We start from the raw sequence: 24,521 nt of genomic DNA on the forward strand, positions 1-24,521 counted from the left end.
GCAAGTCTGTGTCTTTATCTGTAAAATGGAGATGATACTAATATCTGCCCTTTAGGGTGATTGTTGGTTGTGCTGGGGGCCAGTAGGAGAGATGGGGTTGGACTAACAAGAGGTTTGGGAGTGGGATAGATAGGTTTAGGAGTGTGCTTCCAGGAGGGGATCCAGAGCCTTACAGGACTTAGTGCTACATGAGGGCTTAGAAAGGACAGACTGGAAGCGTGTACGGCGGGTGGGGATTGGCAAAGGGGTGGAATCTGGATATTAGACTATTCAGCCTGAGGTTAAGACTATTCAGGGTCTCCTAATCAGGAGTTTGGGTTTTCTCCTAAGGGTGCTGGGGCCATGGAAGCCTGGGAGCGAGAGTGTGCCATGGTTTTATCATGTCTTAGAAAGATCCCTCGGCCGGGCACGGTGGCTCACGCCTGTAATCCCAGCACTTTGGGAGGCCGAGGCGGGCGGATAGCTTGAGGTCGGCAGTTCGAGGCCAGCCTGGCCAACGTGGTGAAACCCGTTTCTACTAAAATACAAAAATTAGCCGGGCATGGTGGCGGGCGCCTGTAATCCCAGCTACTTGGGAGGCTGAGGCAGAAGAATCGCTTAAACCGGGAGGCGGAGGTTGCAGTGAGCCTAGATGGCGCCACTGCACTCCAGCCTGGGCGACAGAGGGAGACTCCCTCTCAAAAAAAAAAAAAAAAAAAAAAAAATGTGAAGGGTAAACTGGAGGGAGGCAGAGTGCATGCAATCAATGCTGTGATCTCAGACAAGAGAATCTGTAAAAACACAAACAGGAGAGTTTATTTGAAGATTCAGGATTTGGGAAGCTGAACACAGGAAGAAAGGAGATGGTGCAACACACTTCTAAGCCTTGCTCAGGACTTGAAATCCAGAGTGCCTTCAGTTAAAAACTCAAACACTGACCCTCAAGGTTGGACCCTTTTTGGCTTGAGAAACCACTAATTTTTCAGAGATGGGTAACTGAGACCCTAGAGAGGAAGGGAAGATTTGTTCAAGGTCACACAGGTAGTCGACAATAGGGCTCGACGCCCGGGTCCGGCTCCGCGTAGGGCATGGCGCTGCCTTGCAAAACAGCCACACCCGCCAGCGACATTCACAACCCACCCCCCAACCCTAGAGGACAGCGGGGAAATCCCACTTTCAGAACCGAGAAACTTTTTACAGCCTTGGAACACGGTAACTTTGGGAGGAGAGGCCACACCAGGTCTGTTTCCCCGCGCGCCCCTTCTCTCATTCCCTATTGGCTCTCTCTACCAGGGGTACCGTCTGGGGAACCTCTGGTCACCTTGTCCTCCGCGCGCTCTGTGGCGAAAGGGACCTGCGCAGGCGCGTGAAGGGCGCCTTCAGGGCCCGCGCTTTACGACACTTGTGCGGCAGCGGCGGCGGCCACCCGGCGCTCCTTCGCGACGGTTCGGCCGGGTGCCGCTGGCGGCCGTTGCCAGGGTAGGGGTCGCTTTGCGGCATGGCGATGGCGGAGGGCGAGAGGACTGAGTGTGCTGAGCCCCCCCGGGACGAACCCCCGGCTGATGGAGCTCTGAAGCGGGCAGAGGAGCTCAAGACTCAGGCCAATGACTACTTCAAAGGTGCGCCCGCCTGGCAGGGAGGGTGGACAGTGGCCCAGGCTGAGGGGTGCCGGGCCCGCGCGGAACCATAGCAACGCGGAGCTGCAGCCTGGGCGCGGGGCAGACACTACCAAGTGACCGGGCGTGGGGAGGCCCAGGATGGCGCTGCCAAGGAGCGACATAGGGGGCTTCGGAGAGTGATACCTAGGAGTGGCGTGCGGAGCGGGTGCTACTCAGTGGAGAGACTGAGGAGGGCGCCACCAATTGTGGGGCGAGAGGGGGACTGGAATGAGGGCGCTACCAAACGTGAGGCCTGTAGAGGGCGCTACCAGGCAGTGACATGTGGTGGGGGAGTGATTGATGGCGCTACCAAATGGGGAGTCCTGGGGTGGGTGCCGCCAAGTGGGGGGTAGAGGGGGCACAGCCCCAATAGAGAAGGCAATCGTGGGGGTGGGGAATGGATCATTAGATGGGGGGAACAAGGAAGTAGGAGATTTGGGCTGACCCGAGGAAAAGGAATGTGATGGTGGGGGCCTTGGGAGTAAGGGTGGGGATCCTTAAGAATAGTATCACTTAGAATATTGAGAGTCAAGTGTGGGGCACCCATTCATTCATTAATTCAACAAATATTTATTGAGTACCTGTTATGTGCCAAGGACTGTGCTTGACTTTGGGGATATAGCAGTGAATGAGACAGATGTGGCCCTGTCCTTAGCTTGTAATTTTGCAGGTGAACCAGACATGAAAAAAAAAAAAACAAAAAAAAACCATGTAAATAAGTAAAATACTTAAATTGTGATGAGTGCTTTGAAAGCAAACCAGCAGTGTGATGAAGTAGAGAATAAGGGTTGGAGGCTACTTTAGATAGGGTAGTGGGGGAAGGCCTTACTGAGCAGGAGGCGTTTAAGCTGAAACTCACAGAGGGAGAACTGGAGAGGAGTGTTCCAGGGAGGTAAAGCAGCCTGTGCAAAGGCCCTGGGATGGGGAATGAAAGGGTACTGGCATGGCTGGGGCTTTGGCTACTTAGGGGGAGACCAATAACAAGATGAGATTAGGACAGAGGCCAGATCATGCAGGGTCTCCGTGAGTCATTACAAAGACCAGTTTGGAATTTTTTTTTTTTTTTTTTTTTTGAGACGGGAGTTTTGCTCTTTTTGCCCAGGCTAGAGTGCAATGGCGCAATCTCGGCTCACTGCAACCTCCGCCTCCCTGGTTCAAGCGATTCTCCTGCCTCAGCCTCCCGAGTAGCTGGGATTATAGACGCACACCACCATGCCCAGATAATTTTTGTACTTTTAGTAGAGATGGGGTTTCGCCATGTTGGCCAGGCTGGTGTCGAACCTCTGACCGCAGGTGATCCGCCCATCTCGGCCTCTCAAAGTGCTGGGATTACAGGCATGAGCCACCACGCCCAGCCCTACAAGAAGACACATTAAGTAAATGGGCCAGTCTGGACTGGAGAAGAATTTGGGTGTGATCAAACTATGGTTGGGAATGGATGAGATCATCTAGTAAGAGGGTCTAGAGGGGGGACTTAGGACAGAACCCAAATGGAAGAGGGTGAGGCTAAGGAGGAGCACTTAGTGAGGTGGAAAGGAAGCCAGGAAAGGTGTCGGGAAGGCTGAGAGAAGGGAGCGCTTCTAGAACAAGGAGCTGGTGCCTTTAGTCCGATGCTGCCAAGGCAAGCACTGGCCATTGGCTTTGGCTCCATGGATGCTGGTAGTGATGTTGACAGGAGCAGTTATTGGGGAGTGATGGGGGTGATGCAGCCAGGAGGTGCTGAAGAGTGAATGGGAGGGGAGGAAGTGGAGACAGCAAATGTTAAGTGTTAGGAGTATTGGTTCTGAAGGGGAGTGGAGAAATGGGGGAGGGTGGTAAGACGAGAACGTGCACAGGAGTTCGAGACCAACCTGGCCAACATGGTGAAACGACGTCTCTGCTGAAAAAATTAGTTGGGTGTGGTGGCACACACCTGTAGTCCCAGCTACTTGGGAGGCTGAGGCAGGAGAATTGCTTGATCCTTGGAGGCAGAGGCTGCAGTGAGCCAAGATCACACCACTGCATTCCAGCCTGGGCAACAGACTCCGTCTCAAGAAAAAAAAAAAGAGAGAAGATGCAGTGTCAGGGAAAGATGGATTTTTTGTAAGGATGGAAGAGAGTAGAGTCCAATAGAGATGGAGAATTGATTCTGCACAGGAGAGGGGGGACTTGCAGCAGCAAAACCCTGGAGAAGGCGGAGGTGGGAAGGGTCTGGAGCCCTGGAAGAGACTTGGCCTCCAACGGGAGCAGAAGCAAAGTGTGGAGAAGCTCGATCCGGTGGGAGCCGTGAGAGGGAGGTAGGACCAGTGAGAGATGAGGCCAGAGGTAGAACCTTGGAAGTCAGATTGGGGAATATGGGTGTCATCCTGGGGGTGGTCGATGCCATGGGAAGTTTCAAGAGCGGGGTGCTGTGGTTCAGTTAGTGTTCAGAAAAGATCCCTGGCTGCCATGCAGAGACTGGACTCCAGGGTAAGACAGGAAGGAGTCTAGATTAGTGGACAGGTGAGGAGGGGTGGTGATCGCCAGCCAGGCTGGAGGGACAGAAATAGATTCAAGAAGTGTTTCAGGGAGGAAGTGAGAGTGGCTGCCTGGAGAGAGGGTGGACGGTACTCCAGGCAGGGAAAAAAAAAACAAAAACAGGTGGCAAAGGCCCAAAGGTGAGCAGAGCCAGGCATGGAGGCCATAAGTGGGGCCACAGCGTAGGAGGCTGGAGGAGGTTATGATGAGTTTGCAGGGAGTAGATTGCGCAGGGCTGTAGGAAGGAGCCAGGGCTTTCTGGGGTGGGGTGGCGGTGGGGGGTGGGGCTCTGGGGAGCCCTGGGAGGTTCTGAGTAGGGAAAGGACAGGGTCAGGTTTGTGTTTTAGGAACACCCCTCTGGAGGGGCAGGACAAGAGGCTGCGAGGCCAGGTGGAGGCTGAGCCAGGAACCTGGGCAGGAGAGGCCAGACCAGGGCTGGGTGGGGCTGGAGGGTGAGAAGGGAGTGGCTGAATCTGAGAGATGTTCAGGAGGCTGACTTGGCAGAATAAGTGAAGTGACTACCGGGCTTTGGGGGCTGAGGGATGGAGAGGAGTCCAGGATGAGGCTGTCTCAGCCAGGTGATGGGGTGGAAGGTGGAATTCCCTGGGATGGGAGCAGCCTGCATGGGGGTTGCTGCTGAGGCCGCATCAGAATTCTGGGCCACAGCAGCCATTGGGAGGAGCCTGTTGCCCCCCAGGACCTGGGATCCAGGCTCTCAGGAGTCCTGGGGCTGGGCAGGCAGCCAGAGGGGCCTGGCACTGAGCTGGCACGGAGGAGAACGGCCCTGCTGGCCCAGGCCCCTTGCTGTCTGTCAGGCAGTAGCAGGCACAGAGCCCCAGGCTCCAGGGCTGTGGGAATAACAATAAAAAAGAATAATGACAGCTCACCTTAATTGAGCCTTGTGGCCAGGTACGCTGTGGGGTTTAATCCTCCCCGGGGGCTGGGAGATGGCTAGGAGTGGCCCTGTTTGTTTTATAAAGGAAGCAAGGCTCGGAGAAGTGAAAAAACCACTCGCCCAAGGTCAGAGTGTGTGAGCAGCAGGGCCCGGATATCCCCTTCCTCGCCACGTGCTTGGCTCCCACGTTCAGGTTCCTCCCAGAGCTGTACTGGCCCTGTTGAGGAGAAGAGGGGCCCCAGCAGGGAGAAGAGAGGTCCCAGGGCTCAGAGGACTGTCCCCTCAACTGTGGCTGGTTGCTCTGTAAGTTCAGGCCTATTCCAGAAATCCTGGGGGCAGAGCCTCGTCCCCCGTCTCATGTCTGAGTCTAAGGGAAGTGTCTCAACTGTCTTCCCCTCTCTGTGGGCCTCAGTGCCCCGCTTCTGTAAAATGGGGGGTGGGGGCTTATGCTTAACCCCTAAGGAGGCTCCAGGTATAAGAGCTTGTGGGGAGGAAGCAGGCCATGGTTGAGAGCTCAGGCTGCCTGGGTTCAAACCCTATGTCTTCCTTTACCTGCTTGATGACGCCTGGGCAAATGACTTAACTTCTCTGGGCCTCTGTTTCCTTGCATCTAAAATGGGGAATGTCTTGAGGCTTAAATATGGTCCTGTTTGTAAAGCGCATAGAACAGGGCCAGGATATGGCATGTGGGTCGACCCGTGGAGTACAGGCTCCTCCCATTTCCTCTTGTTCCCTTCACTTCCTCCCTTCATTTAGTCATTCACGCATTCACTTCTTTTGCCTGCTTCTTTTGCTGCAGCCAGTTTTCTTACACAAGTTCGTAAAATCCTCACGGCCACCCAGTGAGGCAGAGCTCAGAAAGAGGAGGCTATTTGCCTGCAGCCTCGAGTTAGAGATCTGCAGAGCCGGGTGGCAGGCCCTGAGACTCCAGGATCCCCTCCCTGTGCCACTGGAGTAACAGCTGCCCCATCAGGAGCGCGGGCCAGGCAGCCTCTGGACCACAGCCAGGAGGCCTGAAGGAGTCCTCAAAGGCGCTGGCATTCCAGGGAGGGTCGGTCAGATCTGGGCTGCCCAGTTCTGCCCTTGTTTGTTTTTGGGAAGTCCCGGGCCCTGCCCTCCTGGGGCTTACAGCTCTGGAGGGACACACTCATTACTCAACAGTGACGATGAGAGTGGACAGGGCTGGCACAGGAGATCCCAGGGGCTGGGGCAGCCCAGTCGGGGGCCTGACCCAGCCTGGGAGTAAAGGAGGGCTTCCCGGAGGAGGGGACATGTGAGCATTTGAAAGATTGCCAGGAGTTGGCGTGGCAAAGAGGAATGTTGTTAGATTGTTGCTGGCCACATCCCCAGGACCCGGCTTCTCCCTTCTGTAATGTCAGTCCTCATCTCTCTCTGCATCCCTCCTTCCTTTCCCTCTGGAGCCACTCATGGAGCCTGGGACTCTCTTCTTCCATCTCTTCAACCAACTGACTCCCATCCTCCAGGTCTCAGCCCCAGTGTCCCCTCCGAGCTGCCCCAACCCTAAACACTGGGCACCACTGTCTAGGGATGGATCTGTCTCCTCCACTGGATGGTAAGCCCTGGGAGGGCAGGGCTGTGTGTAAGAAGGACTCTCGGAGTGCTGTTGAGAACATTAAAATGGGAGTGAGGGTGGGGACTCTGTGCAGGGCTGCTGGTAGAAGGACTCTAGGAAACCCTAGTCCACAGGGGGTTCCTCAGTAGCCCAGGGATACCCAGGTAGTAAGAGGCAGAGCTAGGGACTGGGCCCAGGCCACCTACTCCTGCCTCTGTGCTTACCCCTGTGCCACGCTCCTGCCCAGAGGTCACCATGGCATGGGGCGTGAGAGTGGGAGCCTTTTGGTCTTGGCCTGGCTCAGAAGGCCCACTTCTCGGCCAGGCGCTGTGGCTCACGCCTGTAATCCCAGCACTTTGGGAGGCCAAGGCAGGAGGATCACGAGGTCAGGAGATCGAGACCATCCTGGCTAACACGGTGAAACCCCGTCTCTACTAAAAATACAAAAAATTAGCCGGGTATAGTGGCGGGCGCCTATAGTCCCAGCTGCTCGGGGGGCTAAGGCTGGAGAATGGTGTGAACCTGGGAGGCGGAGCTTGCAGTGAGCGGAGATCGCACCGCTGCACTCCAGCCTGGGCGACAGAGCGAGACTCCATCTCAAAAAAAAAAAAAAAAAGAAGGCCCACTTGTCACCTGCTGTGTGACCTTGAGCACCGGCCTTTCTTCCCTGAGCTTCAGTCCCCAGATTTGGAGACGGGGGTTAATGTAGTTTCCCTGGGCTTGTGAGAGTTCAGTGAAGGGGGACCTGTGTACTAAAGCCCTGCATGGCTCTGGTACATCACGGCCCCCAGTGGGGACAAGCCTCTAAGGCTGTTTAAGCCTTGGCTCTCCTGCCTGTCAAATGGGCACGAGGGAGGGATCAAGCCTGGCTCTGCAGGTGCAGACAGGGCATTTGACCTTGAGCAAGACCTCCATGGCTTGTCTGTAAAATGAGCACCAGATGGTCCTTACTCCCGTGGAGACATGAGGATTCCACAGGTCACGAGGTAAAGTGCAGGGTACAGCTATAGCTCATCTCAAATAAAATCCGACCTCTCCTCCTTGGCCAGATGTCACATCCTGTCACTCCACACTTAGAACATCAGTGTCCAGACCTCACTGTGGCTGCCCGGGGCCCAGGGATCTGTCCCACCAGCCTCCCTGCCTCATCTCTCCTCCCCCTGCCCACTCCACCCAGCTGCCTCAGCTCTCACTGGCCCTCAGACAAGGCTCAACCACCTCTGGGCCTCTGCACCTGCTCTTCTTGCTATCGGAGTGCTCTTCCCTCAGTCTGCTGCTAGTGCCCAGCTTGGGGCTGGAGGGGTGGGTGGGCGGGTGTGTGGAGTCCTGGAGACTGTGGCCGAGAGGACAAGCCCTGAGCTAGGTTGGTTGGGACAGGCAGGAGGGGCAGGCTGAAGAGATGTCTCTGGGCTCAGGGTAGCCCTCAGCTTCCCCATCTGTGAACAGGGAGACTGGGCGTCACCCAGCCCAGGGCCTGTCCTCGCAGGGTTGGAGCACTGCCTCATGCCTCTTCTTCTGTCTCCGCAGCCAAGGACTACGAGAACGCCATCAAGTTCTACAGCCAGGCCATCGAGCTGAACCCCAGCAATGCCATCTACTATGGCAACCGCAGCCTGGCCTACCTGCGCACTGAGTGCTATGGCTACGCGCTGGGAGACGCCACGCGGGCCATTGAGCTGGACAAGAAGTACATCAAGGGTTATTACCGCCGGGCTGCCAGCAACATGGCACTGGGCAAGTTCCGGGCCGCGCTGCGAGACTACGAGACGGTGAGCTGGGGAGTGGGCCAGGCCTGGCACCTGAGCCAGGCAGATACTGAGGGCTGGGCTGGCGGGGACGGGTGTGAGGAGCCATTCACTCCTCTACTTACCACTCAGCCAGCCAGCAAGTGCCTGTGGGGCCTTGGGCCCAGGCCAGAGTACCCAGGCCACAGCTCTGCTCAGCCATCTCACATTTTGTGACCCTGAGCCAGTTACCCCGCCTCGCCACACCTTCCTTTCCATATCCGTGAAATGAGGAGAACAAGAGGATCAGCCTCAAGGGTAGCGGTGAGGAAAAGTGAGCTTTTGCCTTTCACACGAGTAGACCAGTACTTGGCCCGGGGTCAGTGTCCTGTGATGGTTCACCTGATGGTTACTGTCATTGTTAGTGCTGGTGCTGGACAGGAGCCACACAGCCTCTCTTCTTCTGGTGGAGCTTGTCTTTCAGGGGCAGGCAGAAAACCCACCACTGAATAGGTTAGCAGAATAATTGCAGGTGAGGATCTGCACTTTGAAGAAAAGAGGAAGGGCAGTCGGGCACAGTGGCTCACGGCAGTAATCCCAGCACTTTGGGAGGCCAGGGTGAGAGGATTGCTTGAGCCCAGGAGTTTAAGACAAGCCTGGGCCACATAGGGAGGAGACCTCATCTCTACAAAAAATACAAAAATTAGCCAAGCGTGGTGGCACGCACCTTTAGTCCCAGCTACTCAGGAGGCTGAGGCAAGAGGATTACTTGAGCTCAGGAGCTCAAGGCCGCAGTGAGCTATGCTCTCACCACTCCACTCCAGCCTGGGCGACACAGTGAGACCCTGTCTCAAAAAAAAAAACAAGAAGGGTGATATGCTGCCAGGGACAGCAGACAGGATATGTGTGATATGCTGATGAGGGAGGGGACCTAGGGCACAGTGAGAATTCGCTAGTGCCCTCACCCACCTAATGAAAATCCTGACGGTATGAGGCTCTGCAGAGCGAGCACACACCTTCACACCAGGTGTGCTCTGCATCTTCCTTCAGGGAGGCTGGCTGAATCATTACAGCACCCTGGGACGTGGGAACTGGGATTACTCCCCTTGCACAGATGAGGAAACAGTCCCTAAGGGGTGAAGTCACCTGCCCAGTGACCCCCACCTGGTTAGTAGCAGAGCTGGGATTTGAACCCAGGAGGCCTGGCCTCAGGGCCTTATCTCTCCCACCTCAGAGTTCGCTCCCTGAGACGGGGCCGTGCGCTTGTCCTGCGCATGGGGATGGTGCAGCAGGGGGCTTGGTCAGTGTGTGTCGAGAGGATTGTTATCCTGCCCCCCGACACAGACACACTTCACTCCCTCCTTCCCTTGCAACCATCACACTCGGAGCTGCTTGTGTCGTGTAGGGAGGGGCAACCAGGGAGCTGGGAGCCGCGAGTCTGCAGTTGGTCGCGGGGCTGAGAAGCACGAGTCTGCAGTCGGTGGAGCCAGCTCAGACACTGTCCTGGCTGTTGGCCGCTGGCCTGGGGTGGAGGGTGGACTTCAGGCCAGGTGAAGGCTTGAGCTAAGCATGAGTCCAGGGGACACATGTTAGGATGGGGGCAGAGATGTGGCGGGGGGTTAGGGCGACACCTAGAAGGGTGGGGGCAGGGGCAGCAGAGCAGAGGCCTTCCCAGCTTGGGCTCCCAAGCCATTCTTGGCCAAGCCCCTCCCTCATTGTCTCTTCCTGTCCTAATCTAGAAAATGGTGACAAGAGGAGTGGCCGCCTCCGGATGGCTGTGGCTGTGATGACATGGTTGAGTAAAGGTCACGAGCTGCAGGGCTCAGTAATGAGTAACCAAGGACAGTCGGTGTTGGGTTGGGGCAGGGCTCCAGGTGGGAAGGGGGCCTGGGGAGACAGTGGGGCAGAAGAGAGGAGCCCCAAGGACAGGTTTAGGGCAGGGTCTTCATCTCGTGTGGGGCTGCAGGAGCATCTTTCCCCAGGGTAAGGAGCAGGGGCTGCAGGCAGGGTCTTCGTCAAGTGTGGGGCTGCAAGAGTGTCTTTCCCCAGGGTAAGGAGCAGGCTTTTCAAGACTCTGGCCCAGTCTAGGGCCCAACCCCGCATACTCCCAACCCCGCATACTCCCTGAGGCTGGGCTGGTTGGCTTCAGCCATCTTGTGGGTGTGCCACGTCTGAGCTGTGTCCCAGGCCTGGCGGATGGCAGGGAGGGTTGAGGGGGTGGGGAATTCAGAGTCTTTTACAGAATACCCAGCACCTAAATTGTCATGGCCCATTTCCCCATGGGGGCTCTCCCAGCAGCATTGGGGACCCCCACATGAACATGAGGGCTTACCTGTCATCAGGCCATCCATATGCCTGCAGGCCTTCAGCCTTGCTCCTTTCTGCGCAGTTCTTCAGGCTCCATGTGCCCTGGGGCAGTTCATCTTCCCAAGACTCTACCTCCTGCTTGCTGGATGCTAGAGTTTCCTCCTAGACCAGAAGCTCGCCAGGGAAGCAGAGCAAAGACGTGACCTTGGCCTTGGGCGGGGGAGCTCCCCTTAGCCTCGGTTTCCTCAGCGGTCTGCTCACTCTGGGCCCAGCACTGCTGGGAGCCCTTTGTGCACCTGAATTCAGCCTGAATTCAGACTGAGGCCTAGAGAGGAGATGTCCCTCCTCCAAGGTCACCCAGCAGGGAAGTGGCAGAGCTGAGACTTGAACCCCTAGTCCATGCTTGTAACTGTTTCTGGGCCACAATCAGTTGAATAGCTTCAGCACTTTTGTCTTCATCAAACAGAGAATTAAAAACGGTTCATTGTTTGGAGGAAGTGTGTATAAATATTGTTTTGTGGAAATGACTTTTCATTTACACAAGTACAGATGAGTGATGGATGTGATATAAAAATCCCTATTTTACATGTGGGCTGCAGGCAGAGAGTCTGCGGTCACCAGTGCAGGGGCTAGATGGGGCAGGCTCTGGGCTCAGGACGCCTAGGTTCACAGCCAGCTCAGATTGGGTAGCAGCTGCATGGCTCCTAGTGCCTTTTTTCTCAGCCTTAGTGTCCTCATCTGTTAAAGGAGGTGAGAATATAGGAATAACAACCAAAGTGTTTTTTCTTTGTTTTTGTTTTTTGTTTTTTGTTTGAGAGAGAGTCTTGCTCTGTCACCCAGGCTGGAGTGCAGTGGCACAAATCTTGGCTCACTGCAACCTCTGCCTCTTGGGTTCAAGCGATCCTCCCACCTCAGCCTCCCAAGTAGCTGGGACTACAGGCGTGTGCCATCAAGCCCGGGTAATTTGTGTAATTTTTGTGGAGATGGGGTTTCACCATGTTGCCCAGGCTGGTCTCAAACTCCTAGGCTTAAGGAATTTGCCCACCTTAGCCTCCCAAAGGGCTGGGCTTACAAGCATGAGCCATGGCACCCGGCCCCAAAGTGTTTTTTCTATTCTCTCAGTCAACAGTTACACAGAAAATTTCTGTGACCACTGGTCACGAAAGGGAGTGGAGGTCTCTCCCTACCGGCAACCAAGCAGTCGATTCTGCAGTGGACACCAGCTGGGTGTTCTCTTATTGAATTAATTCTGACACTATCTGTCCAGAGATAGCATTAGATTCCACAGGTTGAGGACTTAGTCCCCACTTGTCCCTTATTTCTGATGCTGATCACAAGACCTAGGTTATTTTGCCGGTGATTCTGACTGACTGGCTATTAATTAGGGTTTCTGTGACCCACTCCTTGGGTTCAATTAATTTGCTAGAGAACTCCCTCATGGAATTCAGAGAAACACATTTACCAGCTTATTATAAAGGCTGCTACAAAGGATACAGATGAGATGCGCAGAGCAACGTGTGGGATGGAGTGCAGAGCTTCCGCGCCCTCTCCTGGAGCACCACTCTTCAGGAACCTCCATGTGTTCAGCTATTCAGAAGCTCCCTGGACCCAGTCCTTTCGGGTTTTTATGGAAGCTTCATTATGTAGACATGATTAATTATACCATTGGTCATTGGTGATCAACTTAACCTTCAGCCCTTCTCCCCTCCCGGAGGTTGGAGGGTGGGGCTGAAACATTCCAACCTTACAGGCCCACTTTGGTCATTCCAGTGACCAGCCCCCATCCTGAAGCTACATAGGGGTGGCTAGCCATTAGTCAACACATGAGCATGCAAAAAGACACATCACTTTGGAGATTCCAAAGATTTTAGGAGTTATGTGCCAGAAAACAGTACATGATGAATATCAAACCTGTATTTCATAGTACCACTGGCCACCCGTGGTCTTCAAACACAGTTCCCTCATATCCAAAGAATATACAACTCAAAAGGTATTACTGGCCAGTTTGTTACTAGAACTCCATTAGGTCATTAATAATTAGTTCATCATATTATATGATTATGTCTCCCAGGGTGAGACCAGTCAGGTTTGCAGGTTTCTATTCAGTCTTGCCAATTTCCAAAAGCAGGCGTGATCTCAGCAAATATATGGCTCCCCCCTTTCAGGCATTAGGTATAATTGAGATAAGAGACAATGTCACCCTTGTTCTGAGCCTCTTTCAAAGTGTTAATGTAATACTGGAGATTTCTTAATTCATAACTCATTTATTCATTCGTTTACCCTCGTAAATGTTCCTCCGTTTCTTCATTTATACCTGTTGTCCTAAAGGAAGAAACTGAGGCAAAATTAATATAAGTAGAGATTTTATTTGGGCCAAGGTTGAGGACCAGCCTGGGAGCCTCAGGTTATCTCGGGAAGTGCTCCAGAGAACAGATAAGCTCAAGCGTTTAAAGACAAAAGGATAAATCGGGGAGGAGTGATTACAAAGGGTGTCTTTCAGGAATTCTCATTGGTTTAAAAAATAACATTGATCAGTAATTGGCTCTGCGTTATTAAATTACAGGGTGTAAGTGATGGCATCCGTGTATGGCATTGTGAGGTTGATGTGTAGCTGTCTCTGGACTCTTACTCTTGAGTCCACAGGGTCAGTGGCTTCGGGGGATGAGTTTTTCTCAAGATGGGGAGTGGGACATGACTGCTCCCTCATTCCAGTTCCTCTCTAGGCTCAATCATTTAAAGGGGGTTTGCATTACTCAAGGAAAAGTTTCTTTTCTTTCTCATTTTTCCCTTTTGGTCAAAATCTTTCTTTTTAAAAGCATTGATCAGAGTCTGAGTGTCAGGGTGTCCCTCGTCACTAGGAAGGCTCACTTTAGGACAGGCCTGTTCTATGTTGGGGAGGGGGAAGGAGATGGCTCAGTGAGGAATTTTCAGTGTGTCCAAAAGCTGAAGTAGGATGGCCTCACAGAGTGGCAAAAAGAAGACCTGAATCAAGTCACTGATTTATACAGCTGCGTCTCTGTGTCCAATCATCTCTAGTCTTCAGAATACCATGATTTTCATTTTCTCGGAAGTAAAACAAGAAGATTAGTAATTTAAATAGTAGAAATATAATGCACATAAGGATTATAATGAAAACAAGAATGTATATGCCAGAATGAAAAAAAGAGCCTTTTCCAATTAGGGAGCCAGCTAAAAACATGAGGAAAATGAAACCCAGCTTCTGCTTTGGGGACTTACTGTAGCCAAGATAGAATTCAAGATTCAGTACAAACTGTAGGCAAGTAATAAAAACCCAAAAACAGTGGTCAGGGCTAGAATCTAAACACAGATGTGCAACTGAAGCATCATTTTTCCTTTCCAGTCCCCCAGTTTTACCAAAGACACTAATAATAGCAAGACCAATTTATTCTCAAAATAAGTTTTAGTGTTATACTTTATTTGCATAAAGTACAGCAAGATTAGTGACTGACCATATAGACTCCTTTTAAGTTGGCTTTCCCGGAAAATGAGGAATTTCGGATTAGACTTTTTTTTTTTTTTTTTTTGAGGCGGAGTTTTCCTCTTGTTGCCCAGGCAGGAGTGCAATGGCGCAAACTCGGCTCACTGCAACTTCTGCCTCCTGGGTTCAAGTGATTCTCCTGCTTCAGCCTCCTGAGTAGCTGGGATTACAGGCACCTGCCACACACCTGGCTAATTTTTGTATTTTTACTAGAGACGGGGTTTCACCACGTTGGCCAGGCTGGTCTTGAACTCCTGACCTCAGGTGATCCACCTGCCTCGGCCTCACAGAGTGCTGGGATTACAGGCCTGAGCCACTGCACCCGGCCTGTAAGATACTTTTTGAGAAGAATTAAAGTAAAACAATAATTGCCTGTGTATGACAGAGGACTTAGAACAGCCATGGTTAAAGACTCAATTGACCAGGAAATTTGGCTATTTCTGCAGCATATAATTTAACATAATAATCATAATTAATAACTGATAACATATACGAGGACATAGTTTCTTTTTTAGAAATCTGTACAATTTTGGAACATATATTAATGAGACCCATACAAATATAACAAAAAAGATCAGCACCATTTCCTACGTGACAATACTTCCCATATGGTTTTTAACATCCCAGATAAGCCTAATATGTCTCTCTTGGTCTTCCGGGGTCCCTGACATCCAGAAGTTAGTTCGAGGTCAAAAAGACTTAATTTTAGAATTTGAAATTAGATTTTTCTTTGAAATTAGATTTTTCTTTTTTTTTTTTTCTTTTTTGGAGACAAAGTCTCACTGTGTTGCCCAGGCTGGAGTGCATTGGCACAATCTTGGCTCACTGCAACCACGGCCTCCTGGGCTCAATTGATTCTTGTGCCTCAGCCTCCCAAGTAGCTGGGATTACAGGCATGTGCCACCACACCCCGCTAATTTTTTTGTATTTTTTGTAGAGACAGGGTTTTGCTATGTTGGCCAAGGTGGTCTTGAACTAGCCTCAAGTGATCAGCTTCAGCCTCCCAAAGTGCCAGGATTACATGTGTTAGCCACCACGCCCAGCCCTGAAATTTGGTTTTGTAAACCCTACAAATGCATCAAAGGTTTGAAACACTTAATCAAAATAGGATCACACATCACTGTGAAATAATATAGTCATTCATTTAGCCAAAGTGTTAATTAGAAGATTTCAAAAAGCAAAAACCTTTACTCTTTGGTAGAGAGGAGACTCAGTTTCCCAAATAATCAAAAGACCTAATAAAGACAGCATAAGAGCAACAGAATCTTTCTCTCCCTCTCCCCTTTTTTGTTTTTTCTGTGTTGTTTGTTTGTTTGTTTTTTGGGATTTTTGTTTTGTTTTGTGTTTTGCAATTTACCCAAAAGATAAGTGAAAGAAAATTTTTTTTTTTTTTTTTTGAGACGGAGTCTCACTCTGTCGCCCAGGCTGGAGTGCAGTGGTGCAATCTCCACTCGCTGCAAGCTCCACCTCCCGGATTCACCCCATTCTCCTGCCTCAGCCTCCTGAGTAGCTGTGACTACAGGTGCCTGCTACCACGCCCAGCGTATTTTTTGTATTTTTATGAGAGACGGGGTTTCACTGTGTTAGCCAGGATGGTCTCAATCTCTTGACCTCATGATCCGCCCGCCTCGGCCTCCCAAAGTGCTGGGATTACAGGCGTGAGCCACTGCGCCTGGCTGAAAAATCTTTTATTATCTTTTACTAATACTACACCAGCCGGGCATGGTGGCTCACTCCTGTAATCCCAGCACTTTGGGAGACTGAGGCAGGCGGATCATGAGGTCAAGAGATCGAGACCATCCTGACCAACACGGTGAAACCCTGTCTCTACTAAAAATTAAAAAAAAAAAAAAAAAAAAAAAAAATTAGCCGGGCTTGGTGGCATGTGCCTGTAGTCCCACCTACTCGGGAGGCTGAGACAGGAAAATCACTTGAATCCGGGAGGTGGAGGCTGCAGTGAGGCAAGATCGTGCCATTGCACTCTAGCCTGGCGACAGAGCCAGACTCCGTCTCAAAAAAAAAAAAAAATACTATACCAAAATTTTGCTCAAAAGAGAAAAACAAATTCTTCCTTTGCATCAATGTATTATTTATGGTAAAGCTAATTTTAATAAAACCTTATAAACAAATCTATCCAATCTCAATCAGCTTTGACCATACAAAATAAGATTTCCATGAATCTTTTGTAATTTACAAATTTTTCCATTCTTTTTTCTCCCTACTTTCCATATCTATTCAGTTTATCTCATTTTTTCTTTCTTTTATTCCTTCAATTTAATACAACCTTTACCTCTAAACTAAGTAAAATTGCTTTTCCTTTAACAAAACCACATCCTCTGTCTTGTGTATAACCTTCCTTACCAAAACCACATCTTAGACGTTCTGTATACAGAATTGTTTCTCTTGGTTATCACATATTAGAATTTTAACTCTTAGTGACCGTAATTCATAGCAAAAACCTAAGAAGCAAGCAATTTTTAACTGTTAGTCATGTAGCAGTAATTTATGATGCCATCTTTATAATTTTTAGAAATATAGGGTTTCTAATGGAACAATTTTTCAATGGAACAGGACATTTTTCCTAACAGATCTCAGTATCTTTTGTTTCTCTAAAATAAGAAGTCAGAAGCCATATTTAGTAGTTACTGTCTTAGCATCATCTCTTATTTGGAAATGATCTAGATATTCAATGAATATTTGTCATTAATTTAGCTTAGTAAAACCCTAAGGGCATAATTACCAAAAGATTTGAGAAACCTTTTTAAGTAGGCATATTATAAAACATAATTATTATTAAAAGTTCATTTATAAAGTTGATTCTATTTATATGTATTTAATTTATTCATTTTTAGTGATTGTTGGGAAAATTTCGTGAGACAGACAAATCCAACCATCATCTCAAGTTAAATTTTCTATTAACCATTTTTTATTATTGTACGTTAGGCAAGTATCATAGAAGTAAGAACCTTAAAGTTAGATACATACATATTTTGCTGGTAACTCAGAAAACATAGTTTTTATTTATTTATTTTTATTTTTTATTTTTATTTTTTTTGAGATGGGGTCTCACTCTGTCGCCCAGGCTGGAGTGCAGTGGCGCGATCTCGGCTCACTGCAAGCTCCGCCGCCCAGGTTCATGCCATTCCCCTGCCTCAGCCTCCCGAGTACCTGGGACTACAGGCGCCCGCCACCACACCCGGCTAATTTTTTGTATTTTTAGTAGAGATGGGGTTTCACCGTGTTAGCCAGGATGGTCTCGATCTCCTGACCTCGTGATCCGCCTGCCTTGGCCTCCCAAAGTGCTGGGATTACAGGCATGAGCCACTGCCCCGGGCCGCCGACATAGTTTTTATTAAAACCATCCCGGCTAAAACGGTGAAACCCCGTCTCTACTAAAAATACAAACAATTAGCTGGGCATGGTGGCGGGCGCCTGTAGTCCCAGCTACTTGGGAGGCTGAGGCAGGAGAATGGCGTGAACCCGGGAGGCGGAGCTTGCAGTGAGCCGAGATCCCGCCACTGCACTCCAGCCTGGGCGACAGAGCGAGACTCCATCTCAAAAAAAAAAAAAAAAAAAAAAAAAAAAAAAAAAAAAAAACAATTTTAAACTAGTTTTATTTGCCAAAAGATTTACTGATTTACTCAGGTCATGTGAACTTGGAAAATCTTTGGGCTTACTTTCTTTATTTTTTTCTTTTTCAGACGGAGTCTCACTCTGTCGCCAGGCTGGAGAGCAGTGGCGCGATCTCGGCTCACTGCAATCTCTGCCTCCCAGTTTCAAGCGATTCTCCTGCCTCAGCCTCCAAGTAGCTGGGATTGCAGGCACGCACCACCACATCCACCTAATTTTTTCATACTTTTAGTAGAGATGGGGTTTCACCATGTTGGCCAGATGGTCTCGATCTCCTGACCTTGTGATCTGCCCCCGCTCAGCCTCCCAAAGTGCTGGGATTACAGGCATGAGCCACTGCACCTGGCCTCGGTTTACCTTCTAATTTGTGAGTGCTCGTTTGTCTTTAATTTTGTATCATGTAGATAATATACAAAAACATGTATAGACATAACATATATGTAGACACAACATATAGCACACATGTACACATGTATGTATCGACAAGTTACAGAGATCAAGGAGCTCTATGTAAAAGAGAATAGAGCTTTAGACCTGAGAGGAGCCTGTTTACCCACAATGCTTGGGGCTCCATGAGGATAAACAGAGGTTCACTCATGTGATACCAAAGGTGGCAAGAGGAAGGAGGGACAGACAGCGGTACATCAAAGAACAGGACTTAGAGGAGCCAGTCAAGGAGATCTTGTTTTCCATAAAGCAATTAAGTTTTACATTATCCTTGGCAAAAATCATGTCAACAAGAAGAAAGAGGGATTGTGTATAATTAGGAGCAGTTTGAGAAGAGAGGAAATCAGAGAGAACAGAGGCATCAAAAAATATATATATACGTGTGTGTGTGTATGTGTGTGCATACATATGTAGCCAAATATCAGCTTTTAATCAAGTCAGCTTTTGACTATAGAGCTCTTTAAAAACTTTTAATCAGGTTTTAGCCAGGCAGATAGTAAACATTCGGCCAGATGCAGTGGCTCACCCCTGTAATCCCAGTATTTTGGGAGACCGAGGCAGGAAGATCACTTGAGGCCAGAATCCTGGGCAACATGGCAAGACCTCTTCTCTAGTCTCAAAAAAATGTTTTTAAACAGATAGCAAACCTATCTGTTCCTTGGCTTTCCCTTTCTGAAATTCACATCAAGGAGTTTGCTTTGGGAGGTGGGTCATATTTGTTTATTAGAGGTCTAGGGTAATCATTATTTAAAGCTATTTGTCTTTTGTAAATCTTGCAGCAAAGTTCAGCAGACAGTTGGAGCATTTAAAGGGTTTTCTGGGGGAGTTTCCTAAAAAAAAAATAATTGTACCTTTCAAATCTCTTATGAGATTGCAGCCAGGACAAATAGGAAGTAGGTCTCCATTCGATTTGTCTGGTTCTAAATCCTGCCTTTTCCAATTGTGTGCACAAATACATTAATTTAGGAATTTCAAGACCCTCATTTGGGCCATTGCACTTTGGGGTATCTCACGCCGCTGGGTCCATTTACCTAGGTATTTGCAGGATGGCGCTCCATAGGTATTAGACATAAATCCAGCTGGTGTTTCGGGGCCGGGGCGGGGGGGCTGTCCTTTAAGGCAAAGCTCAGTTTCAATGAGCAGTTTCCTATAATTTTATTTATTTATTTATTTGAGATGGAGTCTTGCTCTGTCACCCAGCCTGGGGTGCAGTGGCGCAATCTCAGCTCCCTGCAACCTCCGCCTCCTGGGTTCAAGCAACTCTCTTGCCTCGGTCTCCCAAGTAGCTGGGATTACAGGCATGAGCCACCACGCCCAGCTACTTTTTGTGTTTTTAGTGGAAACGGGGTTTCATGATGTTGGCCAGGCAGGTTTTGAACTCCTGACCTCAAGTAATCTGCCCACCTCGGCCTCCCAAAGTGCTGGGATTACAAGCGTGAGCCACCATGCCCAGCTAATGTTTGTGTTTTTAGTAGAGGCGGGGTTTCACGATGTTGGCTAGGCTGGTTTCAAATGCCTGACCTCAAGTGATCCACCTGTCTCAGCCTCCCAAAGTGCTGGGATTACAGGCGTGAGCCACACACCCAGCCTCCTATAATTTTAGAATTTCCTTCTCAAAAGTGACCAAGGCCAGGACAGTATATTGCGTCGAGGTGTGCCGCTTTGTGGGTGTCACTCTTCCAGGTGTCACCAGTGAATCGTGAGGCATGTTCTTATGTGTCTTGGAATCTCTTATCACCTTGTGGCAGCAGAGTGCTTCAGGTATCAGAGTGACCAGTCCCTTATTCATACCTTTCCAGCTGAGCAAGAGTCCTTACTGGTCTTCTTCCTAATGGGAGGCCCTTTAAGACTCCAACACGTCATGCATGGAAAAACATCCCCATACCTCTGCAAAGTCTCTGGTTGCCTAAAGAATCCAGTGGGTCAAAGGGGGCAATTTTCTCTTCTCTTTGAGGCAAGATGACTTACCCTCATGCAGCTTAGTCAGAAGCAGCTGCAATTTAAAAAGCATGCTGTCTAATTTCAGCCCAGAAGTGCAGCCACCAGTGCCAGAATGCCAGTACTGTGACCCGGGCCTCCTGCTGTGAAGCAGCGGTGGAGAAGGCAGTTTTCTTTTTTTCCCCCTGAAACTCGAATCCCTTGCTCATAGACAAAGATGGAAACCTTCATTCTAGAAAAAGAGAGATAGAACCACTCAAATAAAGTCTAGACCTCATCTGACAAGAGAGGGGGTCCAGATTCAGGAGCACTCACCCTTTTGCCCCCAGTGAACCTGTGGAATTGGAGGAACACAGTGGGTTTGTTCTGGTACTGAGCATCGAGTCCAGGGGCACCCAGTGTCTGAGTGGGTAGCTCTGAACCCTGCTCACAGGGCCAAAAAACATTGACATAACCGAAGAAACTGAGGCAAAATTAACATAGACAGAGTTTATTTGGGCCAGGGTTGAGAGAATTGCAGCCCTGGAAACACTTTAAGTTACCTTGGGAAGAGCACTGGAGAACAAGGGAGAGGCTTGTGGTTTTTGTTTTTTTTTTAGAGACAGAATTTTACTCTGTCACCCAGGCTAGAGTGCAGTGGCACCATCATTGCTCACTGCAGCCTCAAACTCCTGGGCTCAAGTGATCCTCCCACCTCAGCCTCCCAAGTAGCTGGGACTGCAAGTGCATGCCACCGTGCCTGGCTAATTTTTTTCTTTATCGTAGAGATGGGGTCTTGCTGTGTTCCCCAGGCTGATCTCGAACTCCTGGACTTCTGCCTCAGCCTCCCGAAGTGCCAGGATTACAGGTGTGAGGCACCATGCATGGCCTGCTTGAGCTTTTAAAGAAAAAAAGGACAAATGAGAAGAGGGGTGATTATAAAAGGGGTTTTGCAGGAAATATCATTGGTTTACAGAAATAACATTGATTAATAATTGCCCATCCATTGTGGAACTAGAGGGTGTGAGTTACGGTGTCTGTGGTTGGTGGCAGTCTAGAGTCCACGTAGCACGTGGCTTCAGGCGATGAGTACTTCTCTTAAGTGAGAAGTGGGATATGACTGCTGTCCTATTCCAGTGCCTCTCTGGGCCTGATCATTTAAAGGGGCTCACCATATAACTTTTCTTTCTCATACCCACCCTTTTCGAAGGGACATTGGAATTGGCCACTGTGCTGGATCTAGGTCGTAGGCAGCAAAGTAATCTAGCACATGCCTCCTCTTAGATCACTTCCATTCAGATAGGGTGTGGTTACATAGGTGCGGGACTAGTGGGCTATTTTTATCAGCAGGCTATATAACTGCATTCACTGTTAGCCCCAGTTTCACCAGATGGTGTGAAAGCACAACCCACTCCCATCCGGCCCTTGGGAATTCTGACAGAAGGTTTAAAAACATAGTTACGGTTTCTTAGGAATTATCCCTGCTTCCAGCACTTGGTGCTGGTAGATAGAGCCTTGGTGCTAGGACCATTACATCAGGTAGGAGAAAGAAAGAGAGAAATAAAATTTATAATCACTGTACCAGCGTATTTCTCCCTTGGCTAGAACTGCAGAGTCACACCAACATCTTCCCCAGATTCTGCATGTAATGTTGCTGCTTGGGGAGTTTGAGAAGATGCTGACAGTTTGAAGCAGGGATCAGAAGGTGGCCCACCAGGAGTGAGCTGGAGATGCCCGGTCTCTCTTGGTTTAACATAGAGGACGGGGAATCAAAGGCTTAGGGAAATTGTAATGCTTGAGTGGATTTGTAACTTAAAACCCACTCACCCACACTGGAGGGTCCAGAGAACACACCTTTCACCAATACTTTGAGAAGCAGATTTATGAGGGGGCCCCGGCATCCCTGGTTGCTCCTCTCTGCAAGCTGGACCTTACGGTGGGAACCGCAGTCACTCAGTTGGAAAACTTACATGCAGTGGGAACAATTAGATCCTGGAGAGGCAGGGACCAAGTGTCAGCACTCAGCTGCTGAAGGCAAGATGTCTGTCATGGACACAGAAGCAAATCCACAATTAGAATAATCTGACTGTTGCGCCCCAGTCAGAATAAGGGCTTATGGGGGCCTGGTGATGAATGGAGTTTTAGCTCAGGTCCGACTCTCAGTGGGTTGAGTTGGTCCCTGGACCCCTCCTGTGGTCATTTCCCCCGTTCCAGCTGCACAATTGGAATAAATGTACTCAGCAGCTGGCGGAAAATCCCCACGTTGGTTCCCTAAGCTGTGGAGTAAGGGCCATTATGGTGGGAAAGGCTAAATGGAAGCCATAGAGCTGCCTCTACCTAGGAAAATTGTAAATCAAAACAGCAGCACATCCCTGGAGAGATTGTAGAGATTAGTGCCACCATCAGAGACTTGAAAGCTGCAGGGGTGGAGAGCCTTACCACACCCCCACTTCACTCTCCTGTTTGGCCTATGCAGAAGACGGCTGCATCCTGGAGAATGGCAGGGGATTATCGTAAGCTTCACCAGGTGGTGACCCCAGTTGCAGCTGCTGTACCATGCGGTTTCATTGCTTGAGCAGGTGAACGCATCTCCTGGACCTGCCATGCAGCTACTCGTGGCGAGTGTCCTTTCTCCATCCCTGTCCGTAAGACCCACCAGAAGCAGTTTGCTTTCAGTTGGCAAGGCCAGTGCCACACCCTTGCTGCCTGCCTCAGGGACATATCAGTCCTTCAGCCCTGGGTTACAGTTTCCTTCACAGGGATCTTTTCTTTTTAAAAAATTAATGAAATTTTTATTAATTTGTTACCTTTTTATTTTAATAGCTTTGGGGGTACCCGTGGTTTTAGTGGCATGGATGAACTGTATAACAGGGATGAACTGTATAGTGGCAGAGTCTGAGATCTTAGTGTACCCGTCACCCGAGTACTGTACAGTGCACCCAGTACATAGATTTTACCCCTCACCCCTCCCACTCTCCCCCTTCTAGGTCTCCAGTTTCCATTATACCACTCTGTATGCCTTGCATACCCATAGCTTAGCTTCCACTTACAAGTGAGAACATAGAGTGTTTTATTTTCCATTAGTGAGTTATTTCACTTAGAATAATGGCCTCCAACTCCATCCAAGTCTACAAAAGACATTATTTTGCTCTTGTTTACGGGTAAAGTAGTATTCCTTCATGGGGATCTTGATCACCCTTCCCTTCTGCAAGCTATCACACTGGTCCACGACACTGATGGCATTTTACTAATTGGACCTAGTGAGCATGAAGCAGCTACTCTGTACTTATTGGTAAGACAGTGTGGAGTGAGGCAATTCTCCTAATAAACACCCTCTCATATATATCCACATGCATAGGTATAGTCATGCATTGCTTAACAAGGGGTAGTTTTTGAGAAGTGTGTTGTTAGGTGATTTCATTGTGTGAGCATCATAGAGTGTGCTTACACAAACCTCGATGTTACAGCTTACTGCATACACACCTAGGTTATGTGGCATGGCCGAGTGCTCCTAGGCTACACGCCTGTACAGCATGTTACTTTAGTGAATGCTGTGGCAACTGTAGCAAAACAGTAAGTATTTATGCATCTGAACGTAGAAAAGGGATGGTAAAGTCATGGCTTACACCTGTAATCCCAGCACTTTGGGAGGCCGAGGCGGGTGGATCACGAGGTCAGGAGATCAAGACCATCCTGGCCAACACGGTGAAACACCGTCTCTACTAAATATACAAAAAATTAGCCGGGCGTGGTGGCAGGTGCCTGTAGTCCTAGCCACTCTGGGGGCTGAGGCAGGAGAATGGCGTGAACCCGGGAGGCAGAGCTTGCAGTGAGCGGACATTGCGCCACTGCACCCCAGCCTGGGTGACAGGGCGAGACTCTGTCTCAAAAAAAAAAAAAAGGCCAGGCATGGTGGCTCACGCCTGTAATCCCAGCACTTTAGGAGTCTGAGGCGGGCAGATCACGAGGTCAGGAGTTCAGGACCAGCCTGGCCAAGATGGTGAAACCCCATCTCTACTAAAAATACAAAAATTAGCCAGGCGTGGTGGCATGCTCCTGTAATCCCAGCTACTCGGGAGGCTGAGGCAGGAGAATTGCTTGAACCCGGGAGGCGGAGGTTACAGTGAGCCGAGATCAAGCCATTGCACTCCAGCCTGGGCAGCAGAGCGAGACTCCGTCTGGAAAAAAAAAAAAAAAAAGATAAAATCTAGTACACCTGTTTAGGGCACTTACCATGAATAGAGCTTGCAGGACTGGAAGTTTCACTGGGTGAGTCAGTGCGTGAGTGGTGAGTGAATGTAAGGCTAGGACAGTAATGTGTATGTCTGTAGGCTTCATAAACACTGTACACTAGATTATATTAAATTTATTTTTAAAAGTTTTTGGTTCTTCAATA

General features: G+C 49.6%; 1 protein-coding gene across 2 annotated transcripts in view, besides 8 other annotated features; it reads left to right on the forward strand.

The window, feature by feature from the left end:
- Window positions 1,306–1,485: an enhancer, noted in NCBI's record as "active region_14834". NCBI's record gives its function as "activates an Ori minimal core promoter by ATAC-STARR-seq in GM12878 lymphoblastoid cells {active_cell/tissue: GM12878}" and the evidence as "EXISTENCE:reporter gene assay evidence [ECO:0000049][PMID:35858748]".
- PPP5C (protein phosphatase 5 catalytic subunit) overlaps window positions 1,468–24,521 on the forward strand; it is a 43,889-nt gene continuing 20,835 nt past the window's right edge. For both annotated transcript variants that reach the window (NM_006247.4, NM_001204284.2), the window contains exons 1-2: window positions 1,468–1,598; window positions 8,129–8,370. In NM_006247.4, coding sequence (NP_006238.1) covers window positions 1,478–1,598; window positions 8,129–8,370 — 363 coding nt within the window. In that variant the 5' untranslated portion in view covers window positions 1,468–1,477. The remainder of the gene's footprint in view (window positions 1,599–8,128; window positions 8,371–24,521) is intronic.
- Window positions 1,586–1,715: an enhancer, noted in NCBI's record as "active region_14835". NCBI's record gives its function as "activates an Ori minimal core promoter by ATAC-STARR-seq in GM12878 lymphoblastoid cells {active_cell/tissue: GM12878}" and the evidence as "EXISTENCE:reporter gene assay evidence [ECO:0000049][PMID:35858748]".
- Window positions 3,962–4,021: an enhancer, noted in NCBI's record as "active region_14836". NCBI's record gives its function as "activates an Ori minimal core promoter by ATAC-STARR-seq in GM12878 lymphoblastoid cells {active_cell/tissue: GM12878}" and the evidence as "EXISTENCE:reporter gene assay evidence [ECO:0000049][PMID:35858748]".
- Window positions 4,382–4,441: a silencer, noted in NCBI's record as "silent region_10809". NCBI's record gives its function as "represses an Ori minimal core promoter by ATAC-STARR-seq in GM12878 lymphoblastoid cells {active_cell/tissue: GM12878}" and the evidence as "EXISTENCE:reporter gene assay evidence [ECO:0000049][PMID:35858748]".
- Window positions 4,842–5,081: an enhancer, noted in NCBI's record as "active region_14837". NCBI's record gives its function as "activates an Ori minimal core promoter by ATAC-STARR-seq in GM12878 lymphoblastoid cells {active_cell/tissue: GM12878}" and the evidence as "EXISTENCE:reporter gene assay evidence [ECO:0000049][PMID:35858748]".
- Window positions 5,128–5,929: an enhancer, noted in NCBI's record as "H3K27ac-H3K4me1 hESC enhancer chr19:46854004-46854805 (GRCh37/hg19 assembly coordinates)". NCBI's record gives its function as "activates a minimal SCP1, AML or CMV promoter by ChIP-STARR-seq in primed H9 embryonic stem cells {active_cell/tissue: H9 hESC(primed)}" and the evidence as "EXISTENCE:reporter gene assay evidence [ECO:0000049][PMID:30033119]".
- Window positions 7,051–7,220: a silencer, noted in NCBI's record as "silent region_10810". NCBI's record gives its function as "represses an Ori minimal core promoter by ATAC-STARR-seq in GM12878 lymphoblastoid cells {active_cell/tissue: GM12878}" and the evidence as "EXISTENCE:reporter gene assay evidence [ECO:0000049][PMID:35858748]".
- Window positions 11,235–11,324: a silencer, noted in NCBI's record as "silent region_10811". NCBI's record gives its function as "represses an Ori minimal core promoter by ATAC-STARR-seq in GM12878 lymphoblastoid cells {active_cell/tissue: GM12878}" and the evidence as "EXISTENCE:reporter gene assay evidence [ECO:0000049][PMID:35858748]".

This window comes from Homo sapiens, chromosome 19 (assembly GCF_000001405.40).
Source record: "Homo sapiens chromosome 19, GRCh38.p14 Primary Assembly".
In the NCBI taxonomy this organism is placed as follows: domain Eukaryota; kingdom Metazoa; phylum Chordata; class Mammalia; order Primates; family Hominidae; genus Homo; species Homo sapiens.